The 14646-nt window shown below is 47.1% G+C and overlaps 1 pseudogene, besides 3 other annotated features; it reads left to right on the top strand.

The window, feature by feature from the left end:
* Nucleotides 1017-1210: a silencer, noted in NCBI's record as "fragment chr11:66219904-66220097 (GRCh37/hg19 assembly coordinates)". NCBI's record gives its function as "represses an EF-1alpha promoter that drives an FKBP-Casp9 reporter gene in an ReSE screen in HepG2 liver carcinoma cells {active_cell/tissue: HepG2}" and the evidence as "EXISTENCE:reporter gene assay evidence [ECO:0000049][PMID:32094911]".
* Nucleotides 2673-3324, top strand: LOC100505524 (chromosome 5 open reading frame 63 pseudogene; annotated as a pseudogene).
* Nucleotides 13454-13955: an enhancer, noted in NCBI's record as "H3K4me1 hESC enhancer chr11:66232341-66232842 (GRCh37/hg19 assembly coordinates)". NCBI's record gives its function as "activates a minimal SCP1, AML or CMV promoter by ChIP-STARR-seq in naive H9 embryonic stem cells {active_cell/tissue: H9 hESC(naive)}" and the evidence as "EXISTENCE:reporter gene assay evidence [ECO:0000049][PMID:30033119]".
* Nucleotides 13956-14455: an enhancer, noted in NCBI's record as "H3K4me1 hESC enhancer chr11:66232843-66233342 (GRCh37/hg19 assembly coordinates)". NCBI's record gives its function as "activates a minimal SCP1, AML or CMV promoter by ChIP-STARR-seq in naive H9 embryonic stem cells {active_cell/tissue: H9 hESC(naive)}" and the evidence as "EXISTENCE:reporter gene assay evidence [ECO:0000049][PMID:30033119]".

The following is a 14646-nucleotide window of genomic DNA, read 5'->3' on the forward strand; positions in this document are numbered from 1 at the left end:
CTGGCTTTCTATCTTTCTTGGCCATGAGTATTAGTAAAAAAAAAATGCATTTTACATTGTGGCCCAATGCACATATGTGACATATACACAGGGAAATACCAGTTTCATGAGACAGTTCATATCTTTACTCTAGGTAGTGTACTCTATTTTCTATTCTGTTCTATTCTGTTCTATTCTATTCTATTCTATTCTATTCTATTCTATTCTATTCTATTCTAATTCTTTCATTAAAAATGCTGGTTGAACCCATGAAGTCAATTTCATAACTCGCTGGTAACTCACAACCCTACCTTGCAAAAAGCCTTGACCTAACAGGAGAGGTAAATACATGAATAGAGCACTAGGTGCAGAACCACATGGTGAGTTCTCTGTGAGGGGCAGGCACAGCTGCTGCCCTGCAGGGAGGTGCTCTCTGTGCATCAGCTCAGCTAGCTGCTGTAACAAAACACCACGGCCTGGGCACGGAAACAACAGAAGTTTATTTTCTCACAGTTGTGGGGGCTGAAAGTCCAAAAGCAAGATGTCGGCAGAGTTGATTTCTTCTGAGGCCTCTTACCTTAACTCAAAGATGGCCACATTCTCCCTGTGTCTTCACAAGGTCTTCCCTCTGCTCTGGTGTCTCTGTGTGTCCAAATTTCCTCTTCTGATAAGAACATTAATCAGATTGGATCAGAGCCCACCCTAATTGGCCTCATGTTAAGTTAAATCAGCTCTTTAAAGGCCCTCTCTCCAAATACAGTCACATTCTGAGGTACTGGGGAGCCAGGGCTTCAACATATGAATTTGCAGGGGTCGGGAGACACAATTTGGCCCAAAATAGGCATGTTCCCCAGCCTGGGGGACAGGGAAGCAGAGGGAACAGCAGAGGTACAGGATAGTGTGGGGCAGGAGGGAGGGGCACATGCTGTGGTGTCAGTGGAGGGTATGGTGTGAGGTAGGGAGTATCAGGCTGGAAATGTTGGCAGGGGCTGGATCTGAAGGGCCTTGAATCCTGCACCAATGAATGTAGACTAGCTTGCAGAGGGGTGAATCTCAAGTGTCAGTGCACCGCAAGATTGCCTGGGACATTGTGACAAGTGCAGGGATCCTTGGAGGGGACATCCTAGAAAGCTGCACTTTAATCAGTATCTCAGATGGACCAAGACCCACCCTCAGCAAAGAAGATGCAGGTGCCATTGACGAGATGTAAACAGGGGCTTGACACTGGCTCAGTTGGAGAGGATAGATTGGAGGGGCAAGAATGGAGACAGAGAGGCCATCAAGGGGGCTGTCCTGAGTGCCCAGCCAAGAAATGATGAAGTCTGAATTGATACTAATAGTGGTTGACTTTTAGAGAGTGTTTAACATATGCCATGAGCCAGGCCTGAGCTAAGCACCCTTCCTGGGTAATCTTACTGATTTCTCACAACAGTCTTGTATGGTAGGTATCTTTATTATTATTACTACTATTATTTTGAGACAAGGTCTCACTCTGTCACCCAGGCTGGAGTGCTGTGGCACAAACATGGTTCATGCAGCCTCGATCTCCCAGGCTCAAGCAATCCTCCCACCTCAGTCCCCCAAGTAGCTGGCACTATAGGCACATGCCACCATGCCTGGCTAAATTTTGTGCTTTTTTGTAGAGACAGTTTTGCCATGTTGCTCAGGCTGGTCTCAAACTCCTGGGCTCAAGTGATCCTCCTGCCTTAGCCTCCCAAAATACTGGGATTACAGGCATGAGCCACCACACCCGGCCAGTGTCTTTATTTATTTATTTATTTATTATTATTTTTTAAGATGGAGTCTTTCTCTGTCACCAGGCTGGAGTGCAGTGGCGTGATCTCGGCTCACTGCAACCTCCGCCTCCCGGGTTCAAGCGATTCTCCTGCCTTAGCCTCCCAAGTACATGCGCATGCCACCACCCCCAGCTAATTTTTGTATTTTTAGTAGAGATGGGGTTTCACCATGATGGTCTTGATCTCTTGACCTTGTGATCTGCCCACCTTGGCCTCCCAAAGTGTTGGGATTACAGGCATGAGCCACCGCGCCTGGCCTATTTATTTATTTATTTATTTATTTATTTATTTATTTATTTTTGAAATGGAGTCTCATTCTGTCACCCAGGCTGGAGTGCAATGGTGTGATCTCAGCTCACTGCAACCTCTGCCTCCCAGGTTCAAGCAATTCTCCTGCCTCAGCCTCCTGAGTAGCTGGGATTACAGGTGCCCGCCACCACGCCCAGCTAATTTTTTGTATTTTTAGTAGAGATGGGGTTTCACCATATTGGCCAGGCTGGTCTCAAACTCCTGATCTCGTGATCCACCCGCCTCAGCCTCCCAAAGTGCTGGGATTACAGGCGTGAGCCACCACTCCCAGCCTCTTTATTTTTATTTCATAGTTGAGAAAACCAAGGCTCAGAAAGGTGAAAAGACTTGCCCAAGGTCACAACTAGGGAGAGTTGTCTGTCTGTGTGTCAGGAGAGGCAGAACCTAGATCTCAGCCCTGCCTCTCTGGACAGTTGCAGAGGGGATCGCAAGGTTGATGGGAGCTGTGGGGACATAGTAGGCAGGACTTTGTGACAGGTTGAATGTGGGCAATGGCAGGGGTGGGGTATGAACTACTTGCAGGCAGTTCTGGGTCCCTAACTCTCCATGTCACCAATCAAAGGTCAAAGGGAGCCCAGCCTGGGTGTGGGGCAGAAGCAGAGATGTTGGCGGCGTGAAGCTCAGGAGTATACATCAGAGAAAGCCAAAAGCCAGCTGGAATAGTTCCTGAATACAGTTTTAACCTTGCTTGCAATTATTTTGAAGGGGAGAAATCATCTGGATTGGAATTAAGATGCTCTGGTTTCAAGGAAATAGCATGCAGCTTGCCAGATCCTCCCTTGGACTCTTCTTGATAAACTGCTCTGTCTCTAAGACAACTCTGCCCGTGCTGACCTTATTCACAAAGGACCCACGCCCCCTTTGTGGTGAAGCCAAGGAAGTACTCAAGCCTTATAGTAACAGGTTTATTTTACAGGAAGTGAACGTCACACTTCCAGAAAACTCTGCCTGGTATGAAAGGTATAAATTTGACATTCCTGTCTTTCACTTGTGTGGCCAGTTTCTGATGATGCATCAAGAAAACACCTCAAAACTTGACAAACAGCTCCTGAAACTTGAGCAGCAAAGTACCGGAGGCTGACGAATGCCCTCATGATTTTCCACCCTCTCTTCCTATACGGCATCTTCCTAAGGAAATGACCATGGCCTGATACTCCTTTTGTCACCTATACAGAGCCCTAAGGATATTCTGAACTCAGTGGTGCCAAATAAATGTTGACATTCCTCTTTTGGTTGATGGGGGAAAAAAAAAGGGAGCCCAGACTCCTCGCTCTCATCTGCCTTCCCCCTCCTCTGTCTGCTCTTCCCTGCTCCTCCTGGGGGCTCCCCAGGTACCAAGCAAGAGGCTGATGTTGCTTGTGTATGATAGCTACAAATCTCCGGCTTGTTATCCTTACTTGCTCATTTGGTTACCGGAGGGATTATTTTAGTGAAGTCTATCTCCTCCTTCTTGCTGCCAGAGTGTGAAGCCTCAGATGTCACTTCTCAGGGGGTACAGCCTTGGGTACCCAGTCATCATGGGTTAACAAGGGTTTTGACAGGACTCTCTTTGACTGACTCGTCCCCTGACACACCCAGCTGTTAGGCTCCAGTAATTGCCAGCTGAGTTGTCTATTACTGTATTTTCAACAAAGCTCTGGGGTATAAACTCCTCCACAAATGGATCCAGTCAAACCTGGTGATGCCTTTGAAGAAACAGTCCTGGAGGTCAGTGTCTGAGATTTGTTCTGACTCTAGCAGGATTCTCCAGTTTCCCTTTCCCCAGTTTCTCTCCAGCAAACTAGCCAGCCTGCAATTTAACCTGTATCTCCAAAGTCCATCAATCTCCCCTCTATTGCTTTTCCCCATAACCTCCAGTATTTTGAGAGTGCTCTTGGGCTTGAACTTAAACTTCTCTACAACCTGTAACAAATGTTCCTTTAGGGAAAGATCTGGAGCTCTCTCTCTTACTACCTACTTTTTTTTTTTTTTTTTTTTTTTCAATACTTGATCTTGCTCTGTCACCCAGGAGGCTGGAGTGCAGTGGCACAATCTTGGTAACTACAACCTCTGCTTCCTGGGTTCAAGTGATTCTCCTGCCTCAGTAGCTTGTATTACAGGCATGCACCACCATACCCCGCTAATTTTTGTACTTTTAGTAGAGACGGGGTTTCACCATGTTGGCTAGGCCAGTCTCGAACTGCTGACCTCAAGTGATCCAACCACCTCAGCCTCCCAAAGTGCTGGGATTACAGGCGTGAGCCACCATGCCCCGGCCTTACTACCCACTTCTGTTCCGAAGAGAAATCTCTGAGCCAGGGCTCTGGCGCTGGCAGGAACAATAGCTTGCCACTCTCTGAGTGACACCCCCACGTTAGGAGCTGAGTGCTTGGAGGAGGGCAAGTGCAGCAGCCCCAGGTCTCCTCAGCTCCCCTCCTCCACCCTCTGAATGGAACCCCCACTCCACAAGTGGGGTAAGAGTGAATTGTGCCCCAGTGTTCTCAGCAGTGCCATGCCCAGTGTTGGGTATCCATCTTACCAGTGGGGGCTGGGTGGAAGAGGGGCACCTCCACATCTCAGATACACTCACCTAGAACTCAGCCTCAATAACAGGTAGCTGGGGCAGGATGAAAAATGCTGATGTCCAGTCCCTCCTGAAAAGATAGCCCCCTGACCTGGAGCAGGGGAGGGAGGGAGGCCTATATTTTTGGTTTTTTGTTTTTGTGAGACAGGCTCTCACTTTGTCGCTCAGGCTGAAGTGGAGTGGTGCAATCATGGCTCACTGCAGCCTTGACCTCCCTGGCTCAAGTGATCCTCCTGCCTCAGCTTTCCAAGTAACTGGGACTATAGGCACGCACCACCATGCCCAACTAACTTTTTGTATTTTTTGTAGACAGAGTTTCGCCATGTTGCCCTGGCTGGAATTCTTTCCCATTCTGAGGTAGATTAGACAGGGTGGTAATAGCCTCCCTTAAAGGACAATAAAACTTGCTAAATAGATGGAGAAAACAAACCACCCAACAATGCACAAACTGCATCCTGGGCTCATGGTTAGAACATCCTGCATCAATGAGGTAGAAAAGCAGAAGTGGGGCCGGGCACGGTGCCTCACGTCTGTAATCCCAGCACTTTGGGAGGCTGAGGTGGGCAGATCACGAGGTTAGGAGATCGAGACCATCCTGGCTAACACGGTGAAATCCCATCTCTACTAAAAAATCAAAAAAAAAAAAATTAGCCGGGCATGGTGGGGGGCACCTGTAGTCCCAGCTACTTGGGAGGCTGAGGCAGGAGAATGGCATGAACCCGGGAGGCGGAGCGTGCTGTGAGCCGAGATCACGCCGCTGCACTCCCGCCTGGGCGACAGAGCAAGACTCGGTCTCAAAAAAAAGAAAAGCAGAAGGGGGCCAGGCATGATGTCTCATGCCTGTAATCCCAGCACTTTGGGAGGCCGAGGCAGGTGGATCACCTGAGGTCAGGAGTTCGAGACCGGCCTGACCAATATGGTGAAACCTCATCTCTACTAAAAATACAAAAATTAGTCGGGTGTGGATCCCGGGAGATAGAGGTTGCAGTGAGCCAAGATCACACCACTGCACTCCAGCCTGGGCGACAGAGTGAGACTCCATCACAAAAAAAAAAAAAAAAAAAGTAGAAGGGAAAATCCCCAAATTCATGTAAGTGCAGAAACCCTTGTTTAGTGTCCTTGGGCTGACCTATGCTCATTATAATAGTAAAAAACACACTCCTGGGTGGAGATTTAAGATGCTAATGAGATATGCCATGTATGTACTAGCATGCACAATAATAGCACATGTGCATGCAGGGGACCACATAGAACATGAATAATCATGAATAATGATTCCCCCCTTTATGAATAATCATGTAAGACTCTCATAAAGAAAGTCTCCCCAGTGTCAATTGGTGCTGTCTCACCTTTGGGCAGCCAGTTCTGATCAGCTGTCAGAGTGTAATTTCTCTTTATTATTTATTTATTTATTTATTTATTTTGAGACGAAATCTCACTCTGTCACCTAGGCTGGAGTGCACTGGTGCAATCTCGGCTCACTGCAACCTCCACCTCCTGGGTTCAAGCAATTCTCCTGCCTCAGCCTCCTGTGTAGCTGGGATTACAGGTGCGCCCCACTGCGCCCAGCTAATTTTTATATTTTTAGTAGAAACGGGGTCTCGCCGTGTTGGTCAGGCTGGTCTCAAACTCCTGACCTCGTGATCCACCCGCCTTGGCCTCCCAAAGTGCTGGGATTACAGGCGTGAGCTGCTGTGCCTGACCCAGAGTGTACTTTTGCTTTGCAATAAACTCTCTTGCTTACTCCTACTTTGGACTCGCTCTCAAATTCTCTTGTATCGTGAAGTCAAAAACCTGAACTGGCCCACAGGCAACAATTCCTCTCATCAAGGTTGGGGTCTAAGTTCCTCCCCTTGAATCTGGTGGGCATGTTATTGTTCTGATTGATAGAATAAAGCAGAAGTGACACTGTGTGACATTGTGGCTTTTTTTTTTTTGAGACACGGTCTCACTCTTCCGTCTAGGCTGATGCAATCATAGCTCACTGTACCCTCTACCTTCCAGGTTCAAGCAATCCTCTTGCCTCAGCCTCCAGCGTAGCTGGGATTACAGGTATGTGCAACCACATCTGACTAGTATTTTAATTTTTCATAGAGATAAGGCACGTTAGGCCAATCTCAGATTGCTATAAAGAAATACCTGATGGCCAGGCGTGGTGGCTCATGCCTATAATCCCAGCACTTTGGGAGGCCGAGATGGGCAGATCACATGAGGTCAGGAGTTCAAGACAAGCTTGGCCAACATGGTGAAATCCCATCTCTACTAAAAATACAAAAATTAGCCGGGCGTGGTGGTAGACATCTGTAAATCCCAGCTACTTTGGAGGCTGAGGCAGGAGAATCGCTTGAACTGGGAGGTGGAGGCTGCAGTGAGCCGAGATCACACCACTGCACTCCAGCCTGAGTGACAGAAGGAGACTCTGTCTCAAAAAAAAAAAGAAAGAAATACCTGAGACTAGGTAATTTATAAAGGAAAGAGGTTTAATTGGCTCACAGTTCTGCCAACTATACCAGAAGCATGATGCTGGTATCTGCTCAGCTTCTGGGGAGGCCTCAGGAAATTTACAATCATGGTGGAAGGTGAAGGGGGAGCAGACATGTCACATGGCCAGCAGGAGCAAGAGAGAGTGAAGTGCCACACACTTAACCCCAGATCTCATGCGAATTCATTCACTATCACAAGCATAGCACCAAAGGGATGGTGCTAAACCATTAATGAGGAACTGCCCCACCAATCATCTCCCACCAGGCCCCATCTCCAACATTGGGGATTACATTTCAACATGAAATTTGAACAGGGACATATATCCAAACTATATCACGAGGTCTCACTATTGTTGCTCAGGCTGTTCTTAAACTCCTGGACTCAAGCAATCCTCCCACCTCGACCTCCCAAAGCTGCTGGGATTACAGGCATGAGCCACTGCTCAGCCTCACTGTGGCTTTTGTCTTAGACTCTTGGGTCACTTGTTTGGGAGAATCCAGCTGCCGTGTTGGTGTTGTAAGAACATTCAAGCTGTCCTCCAGAGAGGTCCACATGAAGAAGAACCCAGGCTTCCTGCCAACATCCAGCGCTCACTTTCCAGGCATATGAGTGAGCCTCTGGGAAGTAGATCACCCGGCCCTCAAGCTTTCTTATGACTAAAGTCCCAATTGACTTCTTAACTGCAACCCCATGAGACACTTGAGCCAGAACTCAGGTCCCAGCATAGGAAAACAGTGTATTTCATGGCAAATATGACACCATCTGGAAGTGAAACTCTTGTGGTGACTGATGTTTGACCCCCACATACCAAGGTGCTCTGCAGTAAGCTCTTTAAACAACACCTTCTAGCATAGAAAGCCCCTCACAAAGATGCTTATCTAAACCCCGCCAGTGGTCATGGATCTTGGCAAAAAGAAGTCTGAAGACGTGACCAGCTGCACATGTTTTACCCTAAAAGAGAAAGGATACCTTCTGGAGTGTGGGTGCAGGGATCCATTGTCTTGCAGCCGCCTAAGACATCACTTCTGTTTCTAAGTCATTAAATGTTTCTTTCTGAGAAACTGGATTTGTCAGTCTCTTTCTTCAGCCTCTCAGCTTTCTTGGACTTTGGGGGTAGGTTTGCATGGAACTGCTCATAACACTCAGCTAAACTGCTTTCAAGTTCGTGATTCCTAGAAACTGTATGAGATTAAACACTTACTCTTTTAAGCTGCTTAGATTGGGATAATTTGCTACTCAGCAATAACTAAGACAGATTTGGTGCCAGCTGGGCACAGTGGCTCACACCTGTAATCCTAGCCCTTTGGAAGGCTGAGGCAGGAGAATTACTTGAGCCCAGGAGTTCAAGACCAGCCTGAGCAACATAGTGAAACTCTGCCTCTACAAAACATAAAAATAAAAATTAGCCAGGCACAGTGGCATGCTCCTGTGGTCCCAGCTAATCAGGAGGCTGAGGTAGGATGATTGCTTGATCCCAAGAGTTTGAGGCTACAGCGAGCCATGACCATGCCACTGCACTCCAGCCTGGGCGACAGAGCCAGCCAAAAAAAAAAAAAAAAGATTTAATGCCAGGAGTGAGGACAATAAAAAATACCTAAAAATGTGGGAGTAGTGAGCAGAGGCTAGAAAGACTTTAAGTATAGTGTTAGCAAAAGTCTGAAAGCCTTTGTATTAGTCATCCACTGCTGTATACCAATATACCACAAACATAGCAGCTTAAAACAACACACATTTATTACTTCAGTTTCTGTGGGATCAGGAGTCCAGGCATGGCTACGCAGAGTCCTCAGCATAGGGTGTCACATGACTTCAATCAAGGAGTCTGCTAGGGCTGTGGTCTCATCTGAGACTCAACTGGGGAAGAATCCTCTTTTTTTTTTTTTTGAGACAAAGTCTCACTCTGTCGCCCAGGCTGGAGTGCAGTGGCGCTATCTCGGCTCACTGCAAGCTCCACCTCCTGGGTTCACACCATTCTCCTGCCTCAGCCTCCCGAGTAGCTGGGACTACAGGTACCCGCCACCACACCCGGCTAATTTTTTTGTATTTGTAGTAGAGACGGGGTTTCACTGTGTTTCACTTTCACTCCCAAAGTGCTGGGATTACAGGCGTCAGCCACCGTGCCCAGCCAAAAAAAAAAAAAAAAGATTTAATGCCAGGAGTGAGGACAATAAAAAATACCTAAAAATGTGGGAGTAGTGAGCAGAGGCTAGAAAGACTTTAAGTATAGTGTTAGCAAAAGTCTGAAAGCCTTTGTATTAGTCATCCACTGCTGTATACCAATATACCACAAACATAGCAGCTTAAAACAACACACATTTATTACTTCAGTTTCTGTGGGATCAGGAGTCCAGGCATGGCTACGCAGAGTCCTCAGCATAGGGTGTCACATGACTTCAATCAAGGAGTCTGCTAGGGCTGTGGTCTCATCTGAGACTCAACTGGGGAAGAATCCTCTTTTTTTTTTTTTTGAGACAAAGTCTCACTCTGTTGCCCAGGCTGGAGGGCAGTGGCACGATCTCGGCTCACTGCAACCTCCACCTCCTGGGTTCAAGCAATTCGCCTGCCTCAGCCTCCCTAGTGGCTGGGATTACAGGAGTGCACCACTACACCTGTCTAATTTTTGTATTTTTAGTAGAGATGGGGTTTCACCATTTTGGCCAGGTTGGTCTTGAACTCCTGACCTCGGGTGATCCATACACCTCAGCCTCCCAAAGTGTTGGGATTACAGGTGTGAGCCACCACGCCCAGCCCAGAATCACTTTTGTTGGCAGATTCAATTGCAGCTCCAGGACTGAGGTTTTTTTTTTGTTTTTTTTTTTTTCCTTCTGCTGGCTGCTGGCTGCAAACCATTCTCAGCTCTTAGAGATCACTCTTGGTCCCTGATACATGGGCCTCCCCATATGGGAAGTGCACAAAATGGCAGCTTGCTTTTCTAAAGCCAGCAAGGAGTGAGAGAGACCCCAGCAAGACAGGTGCTACAAACTTATATAACATAATAACATCACTATGTGCATGTAATCAGGCACAACCCATCACCTTTGCCATATACTGTTGGTTAGAAGAAAGTCATAGGTCCTGCCCACCCACATTCAAGGGAAGGGGTTGACATAAAGGTGTGAATACCAGGAGTGAGGGATCATGGGACTACTTTAAGAAGACTGATGGCCTTAGAGAAGGCTGATAGTGAAAGCTGAAAGGAAAGTGGGAAAATATTATTGGATCTCAAGGGAAGGAGATCCTTGTTGTATAGTGGCAGGTAATTTAGCAACATTGTCATCCTTCATAATGTGTAGATTGGTATGGTAGCTCCTACCTGCAATCTCGACAACTCAGAAGGCTGAGGCTGGAGGATCACTAGGAGTTTCAGAACGGCCTGGGCAACATAGCTAGACTCTATCTCTAAAAAAATGTTTTTAAATAGAAATAAACTAAGCTGGGCATGGTAGCATGTGCCTGTAGTCCCAGATACTGCAGAGGCTGAAGCAGGAGGATTGCTTGAGCTCAGGAGCTCAAGGCTGCAAGTAATGCACCATTGCACTTCAGCCTGGGCAACAGAACAAGACTCTGACAAAAGGCAAGGAAAGAAAAGGAAGGGAGGGGAAGGGAAGGGAAGAAAGAAGAAAAAGGTAGAAGATGTGCCTAATGAAATATGTGATCTAGCTAAGGAGATTTCCAGGCAAAATGTTACAGGTAGTACCTTATTTCTTCTTCCTGCTTAGAGTAAAACATGAGAGTTGAGAGGCAAGTTATAAACTGACAGGAGCTCTGTTAAACCAAAAATAGTTAGAATTTGATGATTTTGAAAATTCCCAGCCTCAGCCAGGTGCAATGGCTCATGCCTGTAATCCCAGCATTTTGGGAGGCTGTGCAGGTGGATCACCTGAGGTCAGGGCTTCAAGACCAGCCTGACCAACAAGGTGAAACCCCATCTCTACTAAAAATACAAAATTAGCCAGGAGTGGTGATGCATGCCTATAATCTCAGCTACTTGGGAGGCTGAGGCAGGAGAATCACTTGAACCCAGGAGGTGGAGGTTGCAGTGAGCCGACATCACACCATTATACTCCAGCCTGGGCAACAAGAGCAAAACTTCGTCTCAAAAACAAACAAACAAACAAACAAAGAAGAAGAAGAAAATTCCCAGCCTCTCCAGCCAAAAACAATGCTAAAATTAAGAAATGGCTTCTGGAAAAAGATCACATCAGAAAAACATGGTATAAAGTTGAAGCCAAGAGGCCAACAGTATGCCTGTAAATTCCCTAAGACTTCAGGTCTAAGGCAATAGAACCATTCAAACAATAAGGGCTTCTAGAAACGTTAAAGGATTTGTCTATCAGCATGAGCCCAAGGTAGGGGGGCTTATCTCAAAGAGATTTGTGGGCATAGTCTAATGAAGTGAATAAGGTCCATAGAAATCTACAAAGTTTTTAAGAGAATTGTATTGGCAGAAACACTGACAACTTGGACTGTAAAGGACAGAGACAACAGAAATGGAAAAGAGGCATTCGAACCCTCAAACTTCTATAGACAGGATGCAGGCCAAGAAAATTACTCAGCTGCAAACACAGACTACCTTTTATGGAAAATGAAAGATGACTCAGGAAGTAGAACTAAGAGACCAAGAGCCATGGATTATTATTCTCAGGCCTTGCTTCAAGGGCTTTCCTCTAAAGCTAGAGACCGAGAACTGAAGCCCAGGTCGCCTCTGCTCTGGATCCCCAAATCCATGTGAGGGATCTGTCTTTTCCCAACCCCACCCTCCCCGTCTGGCATGGCCTCAAGGGCAGAACCTAGCATCTTAGCTCTTCCTTCTCCTCTCCAAATCTCCCAGCCCAGAAAGAATGTGCTGCTGTTGTTTTTTTCTCTTCTTAATTTTTTTTAGAGACAGGATTTTACTCTGTTGCCCAGGCTGGAGTGTAGTGATGTGATCATAGCTCACTGCAGTCTCGATCTCCTGGGCTCAAATGATTCTCCTGACCCAACCTCTTGCGTAGCTGGGACTACAGGCAGGCACCACCATGCCCAGCTAATTTTTTTAATTTTGTAGAGACAGGGTCTTACTATGTTGCCCAGGCTCGTCTCAAACTCCTAGCCTCAAGCGATCCTCCTGCCTTGGCCTCCCAAAGCATTGGGGTGAGCCACTGCGCCCAGCCCTGTTTTGTTTTTTCCACATGTTTTCTCAACTAGATATACAACTACTTTTCCAAACTATTCCAAGCCTCTCCCCTTCAGGCATTAGAACCCAAGAATTAAAGAAATAAAGTTTCGGCCGGGCGTGGTGGCTCACACCTGTAATCCCAGCACTTTGGGAGGCAGAGGCAGGCGGATCACAAGGTCAGGAGATCGAGACCATCCTGGCTAACACAGTGAAACCCCGTTTCTACTAAAACTACAAAAATTAGCCAGGCGTGGTGGCGGGTGCCTGTAGTCCCAGCTACTCGGGAGGCTGAGGCAGAAGAGTGGCGTGAACCTGGGAGGTGGAGCTTGCAGTGAGCCGAGATTGTGCCATTGTACTCCAGCCTGGGCGACAGAGCGAGACTCCGTCTCAAAAAAAAAAAAAAAAAAAGGGGTATCTAGAACTAGAAATACCATTTGGCCCAGCCATCCCTTTACTGGGTATATACCCAAAGGATTATAAATCATGCTGCTATAAAGACACAGGCACACGTATGTTTATTACGGCAATATTCACAATAGCAAAGACTTGGAACTAATCCAAATGTCCAACAATGATAGACTGGGTTAAGAAAATGTGGCACATATACACCATGGAATACTATGCAGCCATAAAAAATGATGAGTTCATGTCCTTTGTAGGGGACATGGATGAAGCTGGAAACCATCATTCTCAGCAAACTATCGCAAGGACAAAAAACCAAACACCACATTTTCTCACTCATAGATGGGAATTGAACAATGAGAACACATGGACACAGGAAGGGGAACATCACACACCGGGAACCGTTGTAGGGTGGGAGGAGGGGGGAGGGATAGCATTAGGAGATATACCTAATGCTAAATGATGAGTTAATGGGTGCAGCACACCAACATGGCACATGTATACATATGTAACAAACCTGCACGTTGTGCACATGTACCCTAAAACTTAAAGTATAATAATAATAAAATTTTTTAAGAAAGAAATAAAGTTTCTATTTTATTCCTTTCTTTGAACCAACAGGGACAAGATCTAGATTGAAGAGAGAAAAGGGAGGGTTGACAAAGGAATTTCAAAGCAATACTGCAAAATCCTATTCACCACAAGTATCATTATTATTCCCATTTTACACATAAGGAAACTGAAGCTTAGTGAGATTAAGAAGCTGGAGTTCTTGGAGCAGAGCGCTGGATTTAGAGCCAGAAGCCAAGGTTGGAACTTAGGCATCTGCTACTGGTGTCCTAACTCTCCCTTCCTCTCCCTTACTTGGGCAATCCTGGTGTCGGGCCCACCTCAGCCTCCCTGAGGCCTGATGGTCTGGCTGTGCCACCATGCAGCTCCAATCCCAGTACTGCCCCAGGAGAAATCCCTGCCTCCTCCTCCAGTGAGTCTTGGTGATCCCTCTCAGACCTTCCTCCATGCAGTCCAGTGTCAGGTGGAAGCACTGGGGCTCCTGTGAAGCATCAGCTCCACATCTGCCTGGCTTGTGACCTGGGGCAAGTTTCTTCTTCTGCCTGAGCCTCAGCTTCCTGGTGTGTAAATTGGGGATTATAACAGGGATTCAGTATATATTCACTGAGGACCTGCTCTGGCAGGCAATGCATTAAAAGCTGGGGGTACACAAGGGAGTGAGGCTGTCCCAGGGTCCCCGTGCACACCCAGCACAATGGACGCCTCTGGTGGCATCAGTGAGGGCAGCTATCCTGTGTCACAGGGTTTGTGTGACCTGCAGCCAGCAGCCCAGCGGTCTGGTGGTGTCCTGCTTGGTGGAAGTCTCGCAGGGAGATTCTCTGTGACTAACGAGTGTCTTTTCCCCTAAAGGATGTGCCGTCGGCTGCTTTCTTGTTTCATCTAGCCGCTGGGCCCCAGAACAGTTGGCAAAGCAGTTGGTATCTTTGGCTATTTTTAGGTGGAGGAGTTAGCGGGGTGGATATAGTAGGGCCCCAGGGGAGTCTGGTAGATGGGGAACTTCAGGTGCAACAAGTTTGTGGGGGTGGGAGTGGCAGCGGCTCCCTCTCAGGAATGTTTAGGCAAACTAAACATGCATCCTTCATAATGGAAGTCAAAAGCCACCTCCTCTGTGCAGTCTTCCTTGATTTTCTCATTAAACACCCCCACCGCCCCCCACAAGACCAAAGACTTGATCTGGAACTATAATCCAGCCTTTATAGTTCCAGACCAAGAGTACTGAGCAATAGGGACCTTACCTGATGCAGACAAGGTTTCTCTTCTGCACCTCTGAGGCTCCATCCCTAGTCAGAACGACAAGGTACGAAGTTAGGAGTTGAGACTGAAGCCACTCATACAGCTGAGATTCTCTCTTGGCCCGTTTCTAGCAAACTACAACAAGCAAGTCA

The sequence above is a fragment of the Homo sapiens genome, chromosome 11 (assembly GCF_000001405.40).
Source record: "Homo sapiens chromosome 11, GRCh38.p14 Primary Assembly".
NCBI lineage: Eukaryota > Metazoa > Chordata > Mammalia > Primates > Hominidae > Homo > Homo sapiens.